The sequence below is a fragment of the Homo sapiens genome, chromosome 9 (genome assembly GCF_000001405.40).
Source record: "Homo sapiens chromosome 9, GRCh38.p14 Primary Assembly".
In the NCBI taxonomy this organism is placed as follows: Eukaryota; Metazoa; Chordata; class Mammalia; order Primates; family Hominidae; genus Homo; species Homo sapiens.
The window spans coordinates 125,892,961-125,915,417 of record NC_000009.12 but is presented as its reverse complement, the minus strand read 5'-3'; the positions used below and the strand labels follow the sequence as shown (position 1 = coordinate 125,915,417).

The window sequence follows — 22,457 nt, the reverse complement described above, 5'->3', positions numbered from 1 at the left end:
TGGCTTCCTGGAATATTTTAATCATTCAAGCTTCCCAGATTTAGATAATTTAAGCATAAAATGGGAAGAGGGTAAAAAATTGAATGTTTTAAGAAAGAAAGAAAATAATTACAGGGATATAAAACAACTCATCCAAAGGTGGTTATTCTGTCTCTCTCTGTACAGTTGGAGAAACAGAATTAAAATTCCCATAAAATAGTTAATTCACAAGCTGTAATCAAAAATTGAAAAATAAACAACATTAGATGAGCTTTTCCATCGTGTGATTTCAGAAGAGGAATACACACATTATGAGGTAACTGGCTATACTTAAATATATATATATTATTAAATGAATATTGTTAAGCAATTGCCAGCAAACTATAAAACGAGGATACTAAATACAGTATTAAAAATGTGCCATTGACATGGCAATACAGTGCTGGGCACAGTAGTCTCAATCTAATTTTGCTTTTAAATCAAGAACTTCCTAAGTGATGCCCAGTCAGCAACCTCTTCTGAGTACTATAGATCATAGCTGACAATTCATAGGTTTAATCAGGTCACACAGGCTTTCTGCCAAAATGTTTTCAACAACACAGAAGACAAAGTTTTAAAATAATTATCATGGTATAAAAAGCATTGGAGTCATGACAGCTCAAAATCAGCATTTTCATTAATGTGTAACATAATCTAAAACATCCCAGCCCAATTAACCTCTGTAAATCTGCTTCAAAGCAGGTTCCCTACACTAGTTACAAGGCTTCTTGGGGAAGAGGGGAAAAGGAAGTTGGCACCTTGCTTGTTTGTATTTGGATTCTCTTTTGAGTCTGTGCCTGTTGTTGTTTATCCACAGTGGTACACACTTTGTGTCTAGTGTAACTTACATGACATAACATCTATAAGCTGCCAAGTACTCAACTGATCACCAACTCTGATTTTATATGCTAACCTAAAGCTACCGTCAATTCTTTTAAGAACAGATTTCATTCCTAGATGCCCTGAATTACATCCATGGCATGACAGAGCTCTTGGTTGCCTTAACACAAATGCAAAACTTTAATTTCTTCCCCAAAACACTTTAAAGCTGTCACTTTCATTTAAAATTATACTTCAGAATAATTTCAACTGGATAATAAAACTAACTCACCATAATTTAAAATTTTATCTGTTGTCTATTCAGAGGCAAATAAGGTTTGAAAACTATAATATACTAAGACAATATATTCATTTAGGAGAGCAAAAAGATAACTCATAAAATGCGTACCAACACACTGCTGATAATTAAAAATAGGCAAACGTATTTGCTGTTTCTTCTATAACTAAAAGGGACTGCCTAATATTGTTCTAGAACTGCCATGTATTGGTTAAGTTTGCATTTTTAATTTAAATCTTTAATTTTCCTCTCTTTTAATTCACTGTGTTAAATGTTAAAAATCTCACGACCTGTACATGCTTGTAGTTCACATAGCAAGTTTTTTGTGCATTTGGCATGCAATGAGAGCTTACTGAGCAATCTCTTATGCTGCACTTTGAATTGTTTAATTTTTTATTCTTGTTTGAGGACTTCTCAAGTTTCTCCATTTTCAACTGAATTTTTGCCCACAGTTTTGTGTGTTTGTTGATTTTTGTATTTACATAGACACTGGTGCCTCTCCTGAAATGTGTTTTTTTAATCTACCTTCAAGTTTCCTCCGGGTTTCTAGTTTTCCCCTTGTAGTTAAACACATTAATCTTTTCCCTATGGACATGTGGTGAAGTACTTTAATAGCAGATTAACTTCCATACCCAAAATGATTACACTTCCCTGCACATGTACGGCAAACAAGAGAAGAAGCTCAATGACAAACATACAAGGAAGTACACCATAAGAGAGACAGAAGGAAATTCATTAGGAACAAATGCAAAAGGCACAAAACTAATTAGCCATCTATGATACTTTTATACATATGTATATAAATACGTATATAAACCATCATTATTGTACCAATAAGAAGCAATCCATAAGCTCAAAAGCCGTGGACACAAATAAAAACAATTATAAGTATACAGTATCAATTACTATAACGTTTTACTCTTATAATGAAAAAATATCTTATTTCTAAAATTATCAGTAAATCAACACTAAGTGCTTGCCTCAAGAACAGGAAAATATGTTTTAATGCAATCCTTTGTATTTACTTTATAAATTATGTGCATCAAATTTCATCAGAAAAATCATTTCCTGACGGAAAACTCATAGTTCTTTAGATGAAAAGTACTAAAGTACTTTGCAAATAGGCAACAAGAAGAAGACTATCAATAATAAAGGAATTTTCATAACTAGTCTGAAAAGTGAATCGGTTTCTTTTCTTTATTAAGCAAAGTAATGATTATGGGATCTTTAAATACTAATACCTGGTTTCCAAAATTACTTTCAATTTGAATATTTCTATTTATTTTCTTACTTAAAAACATTTAGTTACCATTTTATTCCTCATCCTACCTACCTAGCCACTCACTATTACTTAGTTTACTAACTTTCTAGAGTTACACTGGCTTTTAGTCATAATACCTACTCCTCTGGGCACCTATAAACATTTTAATGGGTCTAAATTTGCAAGGGCCAGAATGAATCAGACTGTGTGGTTATCAAAATATCTTGATATCTTCAAATTGAAACATGGTAAAACAATCATTTAAAATTTGATTGTACTTGTTTTTAATCCAAAATGTATGTATAATGAAACATACAGAGGTTTATAAAGGTTTACATCTAGGTTCTTTGGTCATCACAACATTATAAAGTTTAAAAAATAAACCCTATTTGCAATCTACTTATAATCACAACATTCATTTCCGTATCCCTAAGATTTAGACAAATCATACAAACACAGTAAAACATTGTTTAACAATGAACTTGGCTTTGTTATAAGCCTACAGTTTTTGCATATCTTTCAGCAAATCCTAATTAGCTGTCTTTCAACATGCTGTGCACCTGCCCCACAGATAATGGGAGAGAGCATCTGCATAGACGACTGCATTTGGAGGGCAATAAATAAATTACGGGTCAAAATTATTACAAAGCTTTCTCCGAATAAACGCATACCCTTCACAATTCTAAGCTGCAGATGTGAAAAGTACCTAAAGCCCACTCAAATGGTATGATTACGGGGCTGTTTGAGTTTAATAATCTGACTGTAATTCAGGCATTTTCAACAGCTCATTAAGGGTTCATTAATATATAGGCAAGCTTTTGAATTATAAATAAGCAGATTAGAAATCTGCATTGGCTAGATTGTACAGTAGGAGCCTTTCTAACAGAAGAACACTGTAACACAATGAAGGCTTGACCTGAGTGAATGAGGTGCAAACAACACAGTGCACTAACTAAGCTTTGTGGCTCCCTCATTTCAAGGACCAAGCCCACTGGACCATGACTAACCTCTGTTCATCCAGCACTGAAGAGTATGGCTTCAGACCATAGCTATTTCAAATATGTTCTACACGTGGTCCTGAATTAGACGTAACTAAGATCTAGCCCTACAATATTTCCATAATCAGGGAAGATAGATAATATCCATAATAATGATAAAAGTTGTCATCACATCACTTTTACTTAGTAAAGAGTACATTATTCAGACCTGCTGAGAAACAAAAAGCTATTATGGAAACTTGAGTTGTTTGATTTTTTTTTCTCCTAATGAGCATACCATAAATTTAGGCCCCAAATTATTCATAAGCTTAGGCCTACGACGTCGCTGTAATTTTGTTTTCTGATGGACTTGTTTTTTGATTCATTCAACTACCACACCACAGTCTTAGCTCAGAGAAAAATGTTTTAGCAGAGTGCCATGTAAAACAAGGCCAGATGAGATATTTTCAGCAGGCCCTGAATTCTTGACTGCTTTGAAATAAGCGACAATTTTAATATTAATGTTTTCTGTTATTCTTATAATTTTTCATAGCTTTTCTTTTGTGTCTGTTATTTTAAAGTAACATGCAGGATAGTGGTCAGAAGTCACAAAGCTAATTAGTAAAAATACCTACTTTATTTTCTGTGCTTTCTTCATTTAAAAATCAAGTCAGCCACAGTTTGAGAAGTGTAACCCAAACTATAGATGAAGAAGAAAGATTAAGACAGACGTGTTGCTACTTTTCTCCCCAAACATAAAAAAGGTAAAATAATTTTCTATCTGAAATCCTTAAGTAAGATGCAGTCAAAATAGGAGGCAGGACATCTGGAAATGAAATGAAGGTCACAAGCCCCATGGTCATGAGATCTCATTTGAAACAATTACTTTTGGTTGTGAAAACTGGGATATAATTTGGAAACAGTGGTGAAAGACACTGAAAAACCCTCAAGGCATCACTGTCTAAACTAAAGTATTTGGGGTTGGGAGGGTAAGGTTCTCAGTTAAACAGTGGGTGGACTAGAGAGTGGGCTAAGAAGCCAAGTCCAGGAAAGGCAGACCCTTAAGTAAGGACTGACTGAAAATGAAAAAAAGGCCAACAGAATGATATCAACACTTCCAGAGAAAGATCTGGAATATTTGCACCTGAATTTCACACTCTCCTCCTTAGGTCTAAAGATGAAGCTTGTAATGAAAGAAATAGTCATGTTATTTTGTAGACATCAATAGAAAACAACTGTAAAATAACCAATTTTTAAAAGATTATGAGGAAATGGCAGGTGATCTAGTTGCCCATCACAACTCATGGCCCCAAAGCCCATCCCACTCCAGCTCCAAATCTCCTTTTAAGCCAATGTTAGTGTCTAATCCACTGAATATGGCAGTCATATTACAAGCTAATGTCACTTTCACTCCTATTTAAGGTGACTGTGTGGTGTGTGCACGTTTTTCATGTCAGGTATATTAAATATAACACGGCAATGCACTGCACATTTCCACGCCAACCTAGTTGTCACTTTCGCTTGACTCATTCTCTATTGAGGAAAAATGCAGCACTGGGAATTTACAAGGCTTTTCAGTTAAATGGACATAAATCACAGGTTTCATTCAAACCGAATAATCACTGGCCATAAAGAGCTACTTGTCTCTTACCATATATTACAGTGAAGTTCCTGTGAGCAATAATGCAGCCATTCATGGCAAAGAAAAACAGAGCGAGACATTAAGAACTGACATGTAATCCTGTTAGGGCCCTGACGTGGAGAGGGTGGCTGACATTTTTATCATATATGTCCATTTCTATTTGGAAAATCAGAGGAATAAAAATGATTACTTCACTGCCCAAATCTACCTTCCTAAAACAGCCCACTGAGATTTGTTTACATGCTGTGAAACTGCTTACTAGAAATTCATAAATCTAAGATTTTGAAGCATTTCCCCTGATGGTTAAATTGAAGATATGACTAGAAAGATTCCCCATAATGCTTCTCCACACCTCCATTTCCTTCACTTTCAACACATAAACTGTCAATCCATCGCTTTATTACATTTCACCTTCATTATAAAGCTGTTGGCAGAATGCCTATTTCTAACATACAGCACTGATAACTTTTCTCCAAGCACTTGCTGCAAAACCTTCTCACTCAAGAAGGCAGGCAGCTAATGACCTTTATTAGGGGTTCGATGGAAAGCAGCTAGATGCTATAATGACATTATTAGTATCTTGGTCTGTACAGGTACTAGACTCCTGGGCAGGACCGAGTTATTTTCTTGCAGTCCCACAGATGTACTTTAAATGAGAAGAGGAAAACCATTTAAAGGCATTTCTTGAATCACCAGTGTTTTTCTATGACAGTGTAATTCCCTAGGCTATGACTCTGACGTTTCTTCACGTTCCTAGCAATGCAAATGGCAACATAGAGAACACTTATGGATCACTTCTTCTCCCTGCTACACTGCCAACCCCAGCAATATCACAAGTTCACATGATTTATTTTACCAGAAATAGTAGAATACTTTACGCAGAAGAGCCAAGCCTGAAATAATGATTCAAGCTAAACATTTGCTGCTTGGAGCCATCAAAAAAGTATTGATTATACTTACTGTATTTACCCAGTAGTTCATTTATTTGAAAACATTTATTACATTCCTTGCTACCACAGGAAGGTGTGTTCATTCTGTGGGAAAAGACTTCTTAAAAATCCTTCAGTTTCATTATATTTTCTCTTTGCTCTTCAAACCTATTTTAGCCAACTGTTTACAGAAAAATCTGAAAGTACTGTTGGCTGGCAAAGGCAAATTTTGAAGACTTTCCACTTGCCAATTAGATCCTGCCTCAAGAGACAAGAAAAAGGAGTGAGCCTTGTCACTGTGAAGTGAAGAGCAGCCAAGATGAAGGAGCAGATGGACTGTGCAATAAAAATGCGGAAAGAAGAGTTACATTTTTAAGGCACTTTTTTGTTAAATGGAGCTGCATCTTGTTGGAGCGCTTGATATATAAGCACTGTCAGCTACACAAGAAGAGAACAGGGCTAGGGCAAGATATGAAGTATGCTATGCTTGCATGAGACAGTGAAAAAAGGATGAAGGAAAAAACGGGCCATGTTTCTCACACATATTAGCACAAAGGGTTACCTGTGCTCTGCTCCTAAAGGAAATTATTACAAGTAGTGGGAAAAAAGGAAACGGCCATTTTCTTTTTATCCAAAGGGATAGATGTTCAAACAAAACGCTCTATTGAAGAAATTTTTAGGACTGGTAAATATGACAACTAAATTTGAAAAGAAAAAAAACAGCACTATTTAAAGGGAAAGCAATGAGCTTCAGAATCTAAGTCGGGGGAAAGAATTAAAACCCTGGCTTTAATCCCTATGGGTCTTTGTGACCCCAGCTACTCTATGTGTTTATCAGTGACCTAATGATCTAATGGTGCTGATGATATTCTTTAAATTTTACCACATGCCTGGGATCTCACCAGAAAATGCTAGAAGTCTACATCTGGACTTCCATAGAAACCAATGACTCCTCTTCTATTATTAATACTCATATTATTAAGAGTGCATCTCCAGGACTCTTCAGCATTTGTTTACACAAACCATGCAATCCTTGTGTTCCCCCATTCCCACATTCTGCTCCCTTGCCTTTTCTCCCTGAAGAATGAGATCGCCATAGCACTTCCATTTCCTGTCTTGTCAGTTAAGATCACTGCCATGCTGTGAATGGGATAACACTACACTGTGCGCCTGCTCCCTCTAACACTGAGGGCATCGTGTGTGCCTCTCCACACAGCTGCTTCCCTCACTGCTCTATTTTCTGGAAGACCGATCTTCCAGACTTCAATAAGTTCCTCCCAGACCCAGTTCACAATACAAGATGTTTCTGCCAAAAAGCAAATGTTTTCTGTCTTTGTGTTTCTCACATAGGTGGCTTTAACTTTCTTACCTTACATTTGTTAATATGATAATCTGACACTGTTAGTACTTGGAATCATTCTATTACTTAGCCTAAAAATCCTCTATGTTCAAATTCAAACACATTGAGCATACATACTACATGCCAAGCAGCAACTGTATCTTTCACATGATCTCTCTCATTTGATTTTTAAAATAACCTTACAGGGTGGATGTCATTGGCCTCATTTGTAGATGAGAAAACCAAATTTCAAACAGGTTAAGTGACTTTAGAGCCCAAGATCACATGGTGAGTAAATGGGAAAATAATGATTTAAACACGGGTCTCTCTTTAAGTCCAGGATTAATTCCACTACACCTCAGATACCTAGAGAAATAAGTTATAATACTGGATTTTAAATTCACTTTGCAACTATAACACAAATAAATTACAATACTGGAGAACATGGCTTTGGAGTCAGAGTAGCCTAGACTCAAATTCTAACTATCACTTATTAACCATGTGACTGTAGAAGGTCCCCTGGTTCATTGTCTGTAAATAGGGATACCACGAACTCAAGAATCACTATGAAGTTCAAAGACATAAAATGCCTAAAATAGTTCCTGACATACAATTGTCACTTTAAAAAATAACAGTGGTATTCACTTTAAATCATATGAATTAAAGTCTTTTTTTAATTAAAATACTACATTTTCTAAAGTCAAATAAGTAGTTACTTCATATCATTGGTGAAAATGGAACATTATAATCTTGAAGTATAATCTGAAACATGTCTGTCCTACAATCAAAATGTTTATCTAATTTCTCATAATATTCATTAAATGGTCAAATCTGATCTTTTTAAAAATTCTGGCATTTTTATATATCAAAATTTATTTACCATACGTTGTGTTGACATTATTTTGCAACATATTTTAATGGTATATAGTTTTATTGCTTTTAGCCATCTCAATTATTATGACCTAAGTTTCTGGTTCCTTCTTTTGCTCTTTTGTGTTACTTTTACTCTCTTATCACTTCCAGAAATAGAATGCCATTTTGATGTGTGCTGATGATGAAACACTCATGATAGTTGCTCATTATTAGTGGTCTCTGGTCACACATTTCAAATAAGCACAGAAATGTAAAGAATAGCCATGTGTAGAAAAACACATAGAAAGTAAATGGTGCTGTTGATTTGTTCTGAAATAAGGACTCTTCTTCCTGCAAATGTACTCATTAAGATGTTGTAACTGGCTACACAGTGTTCTGGTTAAAATTGGTTAAATTTTCACCAAAGCTATGCATCCTCTCAATTAGTATTTCAGAAAACTTTATTCAAATAATCCACAGCTGAAATGAATGGTATTTTAAAAACCATACAGATATGATGATATATATCTATAGTACCATACACACATAATACAAAATTTTTGGTCAGAAACAACCAATGGGGAGAAATTTTTATTCATAATTTTTCTCAAATGAAAATACTAGACCCCACTTGAATTAAAATACCATATATACTTACTTTGTAGTTTAAGGTGATCAGTAAATGTCATTCATATGTCCCTCATGGGAGCAAGAACCCTGCCCCTATCAGATAATTAATCTCATGCTTATCTTTGTATTCATTTCCTTTCCTGTAGCCATCTTCTTTCCCTTTTCTCTAAAATGTTCAAAAGTGAATATATAAATTACAGTCACTTGACTTCATTATGAATAGCAGATACCCACTGGTTTTCTTTTTCCTCTTGCAGGAAGGAATGTCCATTTTATTGTTTTTGCAATGCCAAATTACCCTGATGCACAGGCACTGCTCAAAATAGCATGCTAGTAAATACGGCATGAGGGTCATTGGCATTCTCAGTACATTCCAATGTAACAGCACAGCATAAAGTTTTATCTGTATTATTATAAAGGACACAGACTCAGTTTTATTGAAAAGGCTTTGTGAAGCATGGCATGATTATAGGAAACATGAACTTTACTAGACTTTCCACATGATTTTAAAGTGTGCTGACTCTTTAATATAAATACAGCATCTAATTAATGACTAAAAATGGCTTCTATATTCCTATGTAACATTCGTCTGTATGCATCTCTCTTAAGTTTATACTTTGCTGTAAGTACTATAGATGTTTCAGTCAATGGTGAACTTCAAAAAGGATATTAGTGCTTCTCATGGTAGTATATCCATCACTCTCTTCCATTAAAAACCATGTAAGTGTCTAAAAAGCATAACCACCCACATGACATGCAAAGGACAATGGCAGAAGCTTCAGAGCATCTTCCCAGCAGCAAATAACACAAACAAGACTTCTATGTTAATAATGGAAAAATTTATTTACTTAGAAATATAATCAAAACAGCATATTCTTAAGTACAAATTACAAAAAGTGGCTGGTTTAACTAGGTAATAAAATGAAACATTCTAGTGCAAGTGTATTCACAATTTTCCACAATTGATAATTGATAAATTTTCACAAGTGTACTGATAAATTTTCATGGTGATGAATAAATAAAAGCATAACTAAAAAAGTCAATATATCTTTCATTAACCCTTTAGGAAACTAATCTACAGCAAAGAAATCAAAAGAAAAAAGAAAAAAAAATCCAAAGACATTTTTCACAAACATCTGACTTCTCAAAGCATAGTCCAGATCTCAAAACTACATAGATTTAATCTCCCTTTGATAAGAAATGAATGTGAGTCAAATTCACTATAAAGACATCAAAATCAAGGTGGAACTGAAAATAACAGCAATTAAATGCAGTATTCCTCATTAGAACAATTAAAAACATTTTCCCTCCAGGGATTAAAAGAATAGTTTTCCAGTTAGGAGGATGGATATTGGCGGCATAAAGGGTGAGATGGGGTACACACAAATGGGCAGATAAACAATTAATTAGGAAAGTCAATTTAAGGAGGATGAACATTAAGATTGCTGAAAATCACCATAACATAATCAGTTTTTTTCCCAGTTACTTAGAGGGCAATGTGTAAATTTACATCTTCCCTTGTTGCTTAGTTATGAAAAGAAATGCTCATTATTCAACCCACTTCTCTGAAGAGGAAATATGCATGCATTAAGATAAATATGATTATAGATTTATATTAACAATATACAGATTTCAAAATTACCTAAAGAGACCTGATTTTGAACTGGGTGTTTTAGTGGTAAACCATGGAAATGTCAACTTTGATTTGAGCTAACAAAAAGGAATTTAGAGGATGGATAAGCTCCAGGACCTTTGAATTAAATGAAAGACCAGAACACTCCACAGAATGTCTGCAATAACAGTCTCTACAGAAAATTATGAGGAACTACATAAATCCACCCTCTTCCTCTTCACACAGGCTCATTAAAGCTGTACTGACTCTCTGGGCAGCTATAATTCTGCTGACTGATACCCTGGAATCACCCTGTCAATACCCAGTGGTGTGCTGCCTCTCCAACTATCTCTGCCCCTAATATTCCTCTCTTTGATGGGATTTGCTGACCTTTAATCTGATGCTAGTTTACTCTCATCACTGAAGTGGAAGTCGGAGAGCAATAAAACGGCAACCTCACTGATTCAAAAGGGAGAGCTAAAGCCTGCTAACTGTGAATCTAACCTTTCATAATGGCTCGCTCTTAAAGGAGGAAGCATGAAGTGGAAGGCAGCTAAAACAAACAATGTGTAATGCTGAGCACAAGATTTATTAGAATCCCATTTTGCATGGGTTTTACAAGAGGACACTGGGGCTGTAAACAAGAGATACACAAATATTTGCAAGAGAAACCAAAATCCTGGTCAGAATATCCTTCCACACCAATATAAATCTTCAACAAGAGCTGTGCTATAGGAAATCAAGCAAGGTTAGACGAATGGAAAAATCTGGGATGACTCCAGGTGGATGTAAACAACACTGGAGTAATAAAACCATCATTAAAAATAAGGTGTTTTTCTATGATGAAGTACGAGACTATAATGACTGGAAACCAAAAACTCACATTCAAAATGGGTCCTAGGGAAATCAAAGAGTTTGTGAAAATTAAATGCTTCCAAATAATTTTTAGTATAATATCAAAGGCAGGTTAATAATAAGACCTCACATTTTTTGAGAGCTTTCTGTGTGCTAGGCACTACTCAAAGTACTTTACCTGTATTAACTAATCACCCCTAAGTAAGGCAGGTACTATTATTAAGCCCATTTTAATTATCATGAAACTGAGGCACACCACAGTTAGATCCATTGCTCATAGTCACACAGCTGGAAGGTGAAAAAGCTAGAACTGGATGCAGGACAGTCTGGCTTTACAGTCTGAACTAACTCTTTACCACCTCTTATACATATTATGTTAGAAGAATCTAAAAGACAGAGTAAATGCCTTACAGAAACACTCATTTCTATTTTATTTTTGTATTTTCAAGAGTTGGTTTTGGGTCATTTAAAAAACATCCTCACAAGACCCTCAGTAAATTTGGGAACTCTCATTTGTTAACTTACTTCTTTTGTTTAATATGAAACAAAGATTTTGAAGACATAAAAATAAGAAATACCATTGTATGAATAACATCGAATTCTATAATTTTGTATTTCTCCAAATTAGTCTCTTGAGGATTATCATCAGGTGTATTTTTCAAAAATACTGACAATTAGAAAGAAATGGGCAACCACTAATTCAAAAGTTAAAGTAATAAAATTCAAATATTTGACATTTTCAAGGCATCAAGATATACTGATGAAAAGGACAACAAATATATAATGCCATGTTCTCACAAACAGCAACAAATTCTGGCCTCTGTTGTAAATGATTTGAAACTGTCATTGAGTTTTTTGTTTTTATGTCTGGTCCCTTGAGATTTCAACTATTTGGCCAACTAAACTTGAAGAGCTATAACTGAATCACATGTGTATATACAGATTAGTTTAGTATCAACTAGTAGTCCTAATCAAACAAGGCCACTTTTCACCTGCTTACACAAAGACTAAGTGTGAGTGTCTTTCATTTCAAATCAAGCTGGTAAACAAAAAAAGAAAGATCTTTCAGGCTGCAAAACAAATGAATCTATATAAAATATACACTAAATGCCAGAGCGTAAACAAAGCGGAAGTTATTGCATAACAAATCTCTTTCAATCCTCTTGGGGAAAACAGAGTCTGACAGTATTGGGTTCTAACAGGTGCAGATAGCAGAAGAATTACTTATTCATTCTACCAGAAAGAAAAAGAATAATAAAAAGCATAATTTAATTTATAATTTATGTTTACAAGTGTTATTTTTAAGAGTTACAGTCTGCTTTGCAGATTACTTGGTCTAGTTCAAGTTGACATGCTGCATCATAGAACAAGCCTGAAGGGTCTTCACAACATGTACAGTAATTAACACGTCGTTAACACATTAACTAATATACATTCACCATCATCAATGTTAATAGCATAATAATTAACTTATTGCACATAGCACACAGCACCCCCTGGCACTTTTCAAAATAAATTTGGAAGTGCATACTTTCAAATATTTAAAAAGGTAGCTATTCATATTGAAATATTTTCATCAATAAACATTTTTATATGTGTATTGTGCGTGTTTTAAATGAGGCATATTTAGTGATACTACAAATTAAATCTGTATCTGATTCAAGCTATACTGGTACAAAAATACAAAGAACAAAGACAAGCCTTACTCTGTGAAAGAACTAGTAATACATTAAAAATTTAATACTTGGCAGGTCAAATCTGGATACTCTCTGCTGAAGACAACCAATATTAATGAATCACACTACAGAGTCATTGTCTACGATCCCAAAGGAAACAATAATGCGAGTACAACAAATTCTTCTTGCAAGAGAAAATCCTGCAAAACTACTTAACAGAATAACACTGGTCAATGCTCTAATCATACATTTGTTAAACCTTATATAATGTTTTCAAATATGCATGCAATCCAGGTGCAGCTTTAACTAAAAATTCAGTCTAATTTTATTTTCAGTTTAGGTTCTTGGAGCAAACATCTTTGCATAAATATTTGCCTCGCTACTAGCCTCTCTCCATATAAGAAACCATCATTTCTCTTAAAAAAAAAACCACAAGTTGTTTTATTTCCACAATAGGTATCTAAAAGATACATTTTTAAAAAAAGCAGCTTCTTCAAGAAACAGAAGATTTGGGTTTCTCTAACAAAGAAGGTGACACAATTAAAGAAAGGCAAAGAAAAGACAACATTGTGCGTCACGGTCTAGGCAAGGTCCTGTCAGATCAGGTAGCTACTTTTCACACTTGATCTGGAGAACTCTGAGTAGTAAACTGACAAGAAAAGAATGTAGAAGGATGAGACAACTAAAATAAACACATTATAAACAGTCCACCAGGTGGATTCAAATTGATTACTACCTGGTTTTTGTTGTTGCTGTTGTTGTTTGTTGTTGTTGTTTGGTAACATTCTTTGAAACTGTTACTGGAAGTAAGACCCTCTAGAAAACATGTAACTGGTTAGTTGGTTCAATTAACTACAGGACACACACTATGTTTCAAGCCAAATTATCTTCCTTTACATTCTTTTCAGCTCAATCTCCTTTTATTTATGCTCTCAGTCAACAAACCTTTACTGAGTACCCACTATATGCACAGTACTATACTAAAACCTATACATATATAGCCGTTCAGCAGAAACTATTGATCATAACAAAGTCTTAGTAACTTCAGGCTTCATTAAGAAAGTTATTTCAGAAATACAATTTTGAAGTAGAACTGCTATATATTTTCAATCAACTAATATATTATCTACTAAGATTATTGTATAAAAATACCTATACTCATTCAGTTTTTCATATAGCCAAGAAACTCAGATACACAGTTGAATGCTAGATAATAATCTATAAATGGCCTATAAGTGAAAAGCATTTATTTTAAAACATGAAATTTATCATTATCTTTACTTAAACCACTTTTGTTACCAGCCACCTTTGAGCTCCCTGGCATTACTGACGGAAGCGGGTAGATATCACATCAACTTGAGATAAGAAAACTAATTGAAATAGTAACTTACAAAAAGGGTGCTAAATTAAATTTTCTTTCAGTTTTCAAATTCTATAATTCTGGGATAGTGTCAAATAACCTTTAAAAACTAAATAAGCTTCTAAAAGGTATTTGAAGCCATTTTTTAGAAATGATTTGAGGATTCTCACTTGGCATCTACAATACTAACAGTTTTCTTATATTTTGTTAGAGAATAAATTATAATTTAATCATTGAACAACAAAGTATCTCCCTATACTTTGGCCTATGGGATGAACCTGAAAGAAGAAGACCCCCACATTTAAGCTTTTGGTTTCCAGGTATTACACTGAAAACAATGGTCAGTTATCTGATAAAATAAATTCCACATTCAGCACATTGCTTAGTGGATGTGTCTCTGTTTAAAAGGTATCAAGTTATATTTGGGGAATTAGTATTATGATATAAATAATACCATGAGTGTACGCAACTAGGACAAAACTCATTTGCTTTCGCTACATCTCTTTGTGGTTTGTTTAGGTGTAAAGCCACCTGCCTGTAGAGGCTACACTGTGAATGAGCTGAACGTCAGCAGTTTATCCTAGGGTCATCTGCACTACATACAATTATGCTGGGGTCACCTGGGTTATATAGGAAGCCTGAAGTTTTAAACTGTCATTAGAATATTGCGGCCTGATTTTAACAATACAGCAGTGCTTCTAATGATCTTAAAGGTAATTCACTATTCAGACCCCAAGCAAAAGATGCAAATGTAGCACTGAAAGCTCCTTATTAAATACCCACAGGCTACATCTCTGTACAATAAGTGGTCCAGGTCTTTTTAGAACATACTAATTAGATGAACAGAGAATCAGAAAAATGCAAAACCAGGTCATGCAGCAAAAATGGTAAAGTGTTAAAAAAAAAAAAAAAAGGGCGGGATGTGGGGGGAGGGGTGTTTAAGAATGAGAAAGGCATACCAAATAACTCCATCCTATCATTATTAAAAAATTATCTACAATAAAGAGGCAAAATAAATCATGTCGGGTCACTATTTGACTCACCCAAATTAGGGTGGATATTACTATTAAAGTTAAGTTTTAAGTTTATTGTCAGAGATATGCTTAACTGATGATACAATACTATGAATAATACATTAAGCAAAAGCCCAATCTAAAATTAAATTTGCCTTGGGTTATCTCCCATTACTATAAACATTCAGAATTACTCTGGTTTATAAATGAAATACTTTTGGGGGGCTCTTTTCTTTATTCGTTACATATACAGAGTTGCTAAACCAATATCAACACAGTTTTACAAAAAATAATGCCTCCAATTCTCAATTACTTCTAGACAAGCACATATAAATTTAATAGGAAATATTACCTTTGTCACTTAAGATGTACCAAAATTCAAATAATTTATTTTCACATGAAGTGTTTGGACAAATTATCTTTTCTTTTTAAAATGAAGTCTCCTTGCTCTAATCCTAACTTTGCAGAAACCGCAGAGTGAAGGAGAGTCTATATGATGTTCTGCCAACTGAGGTACTGAAATCTTCACCAGCTGACCAAAATGCTGTAAGACTATCAACTGCATTTTGAAGCTGTTTGATTTGTGCTCTACTCCCCTCTCTTCATGTACCTACCCTCTGACAATAACCTCCCCTGCCTGTGGGTGAGCTCTCTCTCTCTCTCTCTCTCTCTCTCTCTCTCTATATATATATATACACACATATATATAGACATACATATATATACATACATATATTTGTATATTTATATAAAAATATATACATATATGTATATATTTATATAAAAATATATACATATATGTATATATTTATATAAAAATATATACATATATGTATATTTATATATAAATATATATACATATGTATATTTATATATAAATATATATACATATGTATATTTATATATAAATATATATACATATGTATATTTATAAATATATATATCATCTAAAGAATGTGAAGTACACAATAAGGGAGAAAACAAACTAGCATATGACATAAAAGACTATCATCTCATAAGTTTTTTGGAAAACAATTTAGCTTCCTTAGAAGCACAGCAGCAGCATTCCTTTCAACACCACAGATGTTTCTTTTACCAAACGACTTATTGGAGAAAAACACCTCCTGATGTCAAAATGGGTTTCTGAGAGTTGTTTTTGTTTTTGTTTTCATACCCATCAGTTCCAAATTCAACCATTTCTATTTCATTACTTGTGTGTTCTTCCAAAAGATTTAATGTTTTACATGAATTTAGCCATCTACTTTAAACAATAAATTTGTACTCATTTAAAAAATTGTACTCATATGTTTAAACAACTTTAACATTCAATGTGAAATAACTGTAATAAAAACAATCATGAATATCCAAAAGAATGTACTAAATCAATCTGCTACAACTCGAATTTATAAAACAGAGGACTAGACTAGAGGTTCAGCATTCTGTATCTTCACTTCATATCTGCTCTGTTATTTGGTTGTATGGCCTTGGGCAAGTCATGCCTCCCCTGAGTTTAATTTCCCTCATCTATCAAATGAGAGGGCTGAGCTAGATGTTCCATACGTTCCTGAACCAGTTCAGAATTTAGTCAGGAATCTCTGACATTATAACCACAAACTATAATAAGAGGCCTAATGATTCTGAAATGGGCCCTAAAATTCAAAAGGCCCTTTTTTTTATTTTTTTTTTTCAGAAGATGGGGTCCTGCTACACTGCCCAGGCTGAACACAAAAAATGTATTTCATTTACTATCTAAAGCAAATGGGAATCATTATTATACTAAATTCCCTAAAACATAGGGTGCATCACAATCCAAAGGAGACTGTGAAAATTTCTGGGAAAAGTTTGCTCTTTTATCAGAATCAGGCTGTGCTAGGGAAGAGAGGTAGAGGTCGGGAGAGGTTGAGAAATGGCAACCTTACTGGTGAGAATAGTAGCTTCCAACTGATAAATTTTATTCTAAAAATGCAAAACCACTGCTTCATGAGCTCAAATCTGTTTTTTCTAGCTAAGAGACCACAGGTCCAAAGAACTAAAGGGCAAGCAGGGACCTCATTATTTATCAATTCCATCATAATTATTTACTGTTGACTTGAGGCTCAAGTTAGAATTCTTATGTGTAGATTACTATATTTAAATGGCCATATCCGTTAAAGAAGGATGTATTTTGTAGTATATTGGGTAATTCTTCAATTAAAGTAAGTCGCATTAGTATCTTAATTATTTTAAGAATGACTAAGTGAAATAAGTATACTTTAAATTTTATTAAAACACTCAGTCCTTAATTAGGGCTTAGTTAAGTCGGCTAGTGGTAAATATATATTCATGTAGTTACAGGACGCTATGAGAATGATAATTCTGGCCATGTCTAATACAGAGCAAACATGCACTTCTATGGAAAGCTCCCATAAACTTTAATGCTGTTTCTTACTGCAATCCAATACTTTTAAATCAGATGCCCTCAAATAGCAGTTTTCCCTATATAAACTAGAAGTACAATAAATTTTAGTATGTGGTTTTTTAGACATGTGAATACATTTTGCTGGTGTGTGTGACATTTTAGAATGGTTTAGTCTTCTAACTAATTTGTTGAGAATGATGCAAATATTTTAAAGAAAAATTGTAATTAACATTGGCCAGAATGAGATAATAGTGATAATTTTGAGAATCCAGAAAAGGCTTCATCACTTCACACTCAGATCATTTGCCAATCCAAAATGTACTCTATTCTTTCTGGTACTCTTAATAAGTTCTTCAGTTTGATTGGATGGCATAACAAGCAAACTGTCTTACGAATGTTTTTTGCCCTCAAGAAGCTATTCTAAATGAATTAGTCTTCCACAAATTAATGAATTCATATTTTAAGATACATTTGCAAAATGTCCTATCATTCCAATGCTAATCTGCAACCTAGTTAAGAAATGTTAGCCTAACAGGAAAAAAATTCTAATGCGAATGAATGTCATGTTTGCACAGGAAAAAAAAAAAAAAAAAAAAACCACAAATGAATATAAAGCCCACATGAAATGGCTTTGACAAGACACTGTATTTAAGTGATTTTACTATGCATATTATTTCCAAAAGTCAATAGCATTTAGATATATATTTAACTATTGAAACCTTTTAAACAATGATTAAATTTTTAAAATCACATTAAATTACATGTAATTTCTTGAAATCAATTATAGATGAACAGGAAAGGAAACAGTTAATATACTAATTACAGTAATTAAGAGTTGCCAATTTAATTATAGCTGGGGATATGAATGTTCTAACATTTGTTAGAGTGTAAAAAACAAACCTTTAATGCAGAGACTTTGTTCACAAACATCTAATGGAGACCTCCTCTACCTCACTCTGCTTCTCTGCTGACACAACAGCAATGGGTTCAGATTGAAGAACTTGTCAGCAATCAGGCAGGAGGAGGCTAATTAGCTTGCAGGTTAATGAGTGTGATGGCTCTTGACAGCATTTTGTTACAGCCTCTTCTGTATTTAAACAATAAATGATTACTTATATACAGTTGAGACATCCTAACCATAACAGCCAAGCACACATTTAGTTTTACGAGTATCAAATCAGTTCCTTTGTTTCTAAATCAAAAATATAAAAATTGCATTAGTTACAACCCTATCACATTATCACAATATGCGGGAAAGAAAATGGGCATTTTTAAAAAGGCAATAAATATACTTTATGTAGAGGTATGCCCTTTGAGTTGGAAATTTCCACTGTAAGGATGCCTGGTAGGCAACATAATTGGGCTGCTGAAGGATAATTTAAATATGGCAGTTTTTTTGAAATGTGCAAGAACTTTCCCTTAAAAAAATTCAAGGAAGATTTTTGTCTTAGTTTTTTTTATTCTAGGTTTCTCTCTGTGAAATAGGTACATAAGGCACACACAGAGGAATCTCTCTGCTTACCTTGTCGGTTACTAGGGATTTGAAAACAGGTGGTGAATTAAGGAAATAGCTCTATTGAGAGATTAACCCATTTCATCAGCCAGTGGAGAAGGAAATAAGAACATTTTTACAGCATCTCTATAATCCATATATTTAGTGGTAACAGAAATGCCTTAATAAAAGCACTAAGAAAGGGAATAAGTGAGTATTTTGCAGCAGTTTGATTTACTTTGTAAAGTAGCAAGTATTAAAATCTAAGTAGTGTGATTTTTATTTACATGAGAGGAAAATGATATGTGTCCAGGAAAACCTTATCTGAGAATTAAACTGAACTTTAACTGCATAATATCAAGGGAAGGTTATTTCAATTTAATATTCAGTGTTCCCTAGAAATTTGAACACAGACATGGAAGAAACACCTGCTGAGATTCACACTGCTTTCTAAATTATTTTGTATGCATGAAAATATTATTTGCGTACCTTCTTACTGCTGTATGATGAACATTTGAATAAAATAGAAAAGTAATAAAATTTCAAATAAGTACAGCTCTAATGCTCTTCTTTTTATGTTTAAGAATAAAAAGTATTATATCTATCACAATTATGGTAGCCAATAAATAACTTACATCAAAAAGCTTTAGTAGACCTGGACAGATTTAGTGGATGAAAAAGGAAACTAGTATAAAAACCAAAAGTTCGTTGTAGCGCTAAAAGCTCCAGGTGTACTGAGTACCTATAATTTCCAAGGGGTGAAAGAAAATGCAAGTTTAAATTCTGTGGTAGTTTGTCACTTCCTTTGGGTTATTTGGAATAATAAATCCTTAGGGTCAAAACACCAATACTTCAAAATTTGTATATCAATTGTGTGCTACTTACACATCTGAATTCTGTAAACTGTATACATAAACAGTATGTGAAAATAGGTTTCTCTATCATGTGTACATTCTTAAATAACATAGTATTAATTAGCTTACAGGTATGTCTTATCACACATACATGCAGGCTACTGCACATTTTATCATTTATATCCTTAAGCCAGTTAACACAAATCTGTAAGCCCCAAAGGTCACAATGCTGTGCCAAATCTAGGTGGATGTATAAACACAAACTTCTTAAGTTCTAACACAATTAAATCTTAGAGAATCAAAATTTTCTCTGAATTATATGATGAATCCCAACCCAGTGACTTTTTTGAGGAGACTGACACCTACCCAAAATCACGACCCATTCTGCCTGTTTAAATGAGAATATTCCTCAGTCTGAAAAATTATTTATAGAGATTTTTTACTACCCTTGTATACTGCAATGTTATTTCCTTTCCCACACACTAGCAAAGTCCATTTTCACAACTGCTATAAAGCGGCATGTTCACAGCTAGTAAAACAACTCAATAAATAGCCTCACGAAGCTATAGCTGTCTCATATCCTTTCCTCAATAAAAACAGAGGTGAACTGCTTATTTTCAGCAGCACACTATAAGAAGACAGAAGCATTATGACTGCTCATACATTCTGACTATCATTTGCCACAAGCTATATCTGTCAGCATTAAATAAAGCTGCATTATAAATGTAAACAAAACACCCACATCTACAAAATGAGCTGTCCGCCATGGCTGTAGGCATGAATTGAACCCACTTATTGACTCAGGTTGCTCTTTTTATTTATTCTTCTACAAAGACATGCATTTACTTTACCCTACAAGCACACTAGGTTTCAGAAAAGCAACTAGTCTTGTGCTAGAGCAAAAAAAACAGGCACATGTTAACAAATGCATATCTTAATAGGAATAACATTATGTGGGCAAACAGAGACCAACTGTTAAAAAATGGATTTATTTTAAAAGGTTATCCTAGATCAAAACATTAAATCATAAATCTATGGACTCAGTTCTCTAAGTATATATTTATAAACTACAACAAAGTAATTTACTGTCGAAAACAACAGAACTTTATTTTCAAATATTTAATGGAAGTGAGTATTTAATGAATGCTGCTCACACAGTTGTCCCACCTTCTATGGCTTGGGTATTCACTGACAAAGTAAATAAGTGAATATTCAGGATATCCAATCATGCAGGGTATAAAATTAATTCAAGCTGCCAACAAAAAATAGTTTCTGTAAAAAATATACTATTTACAAAATGCCTTTTGTACTTTTTCAAGTGTTTTATGCTTTGTGCAACTATATGTAGCCATGGTGATATATAATAGAAACAGGTAACAAAAACTGTGAGCTTAAAAACATTTTGCCAGCTTTACTTTTTTTTTTTAATCTGAGGAGTTAATAGATCACTCTGAACCTACTGCAGTAAGTTTGTATCTCACTTAGAATGTTTTGAAAAAGTAAGGAGGAGGCCCTTTCTCTTTATTATTGTTCTATGATAAGCCATAATGCTAGGGAAGTGCACATCTGAAATACAGATACACTGGATTCCTAAGCGTGAATGTTCTAACAGGTGTGCTGCACATCAAGATTTTCATCTATTTTCAGGCTTATTCTGAAAAGGACCATCAACATGCCAAATCATGACAAATGAAGGTATGTTTTGAAGACATTCATTACAGACAGAGCCAGAGTATACATATAAGCCACCAATGCACATGCATTACAATAAAAATGAAATACAGCATTCTTTCAAACAATCACATGGGGCTCTTCTGTGTATTTGATCAAATAATTTCTCAATTAGTTTTCTCCACTAAACACTGATTGCTTTGGCCTCGTGTAGCCTGGGCAGCCAGAAGCCACTGGATAGATTTCCAGATGACAGAAGATCTGAAGATATGCACAGCCCAGTAGTACTCCAAAGAGTTTAGCCTTTATTCATCACCTGTTGAGCAACTCAAGAACCCCTAAGAAGTCTGAAAGTTTATACCTTTGTCTCTAAGTGCAAAAGAGTCCACAGATTAAAGTCTCGATTTTAAAAGCAAGAAGTAAAATGCAACAGTTAAAATATTAACATATACTGTCACAACTTATTCTTATGTAGGACATCATTCCCTATGAAAGGGAAAGCATAAATGTTCTTTGCTTCTCACTATTGGTATAGACTGATATTAATTATTACTGCTTTTCCTCTCTAAAATAAGCTTGTTAACAAGAACTACAGGATTGCTTACAGCTGCTATCCATTGGGTAGGTTGCACCATTGTTTATGATGTTTACAGAAAAAAGGGAAATCAGTACAAAGAAATAGTATGGAGTAATTAATGTATTGTAGTGTAGTAATTTCCACTTTCTACCTCCATTTAAATAAAATAAAGCTCTGTAATGCT

The 22,457-nt window shown here is 33.7% G+C and overlaps 1 protein-coding gene across 12 annotated transcripts in view; it reads right to left on the bottom strand.

Annotated features, from left to right (window-relative positions):
* PBX3 (PBX homeobox 3) overlaps positions 1–22,457 on the bottom strand; it is a 220,005-nt gene that overhangs the window by 51,960 nt on the left and 145,588 nt on the right. The window lies entirely within an intron of this gene.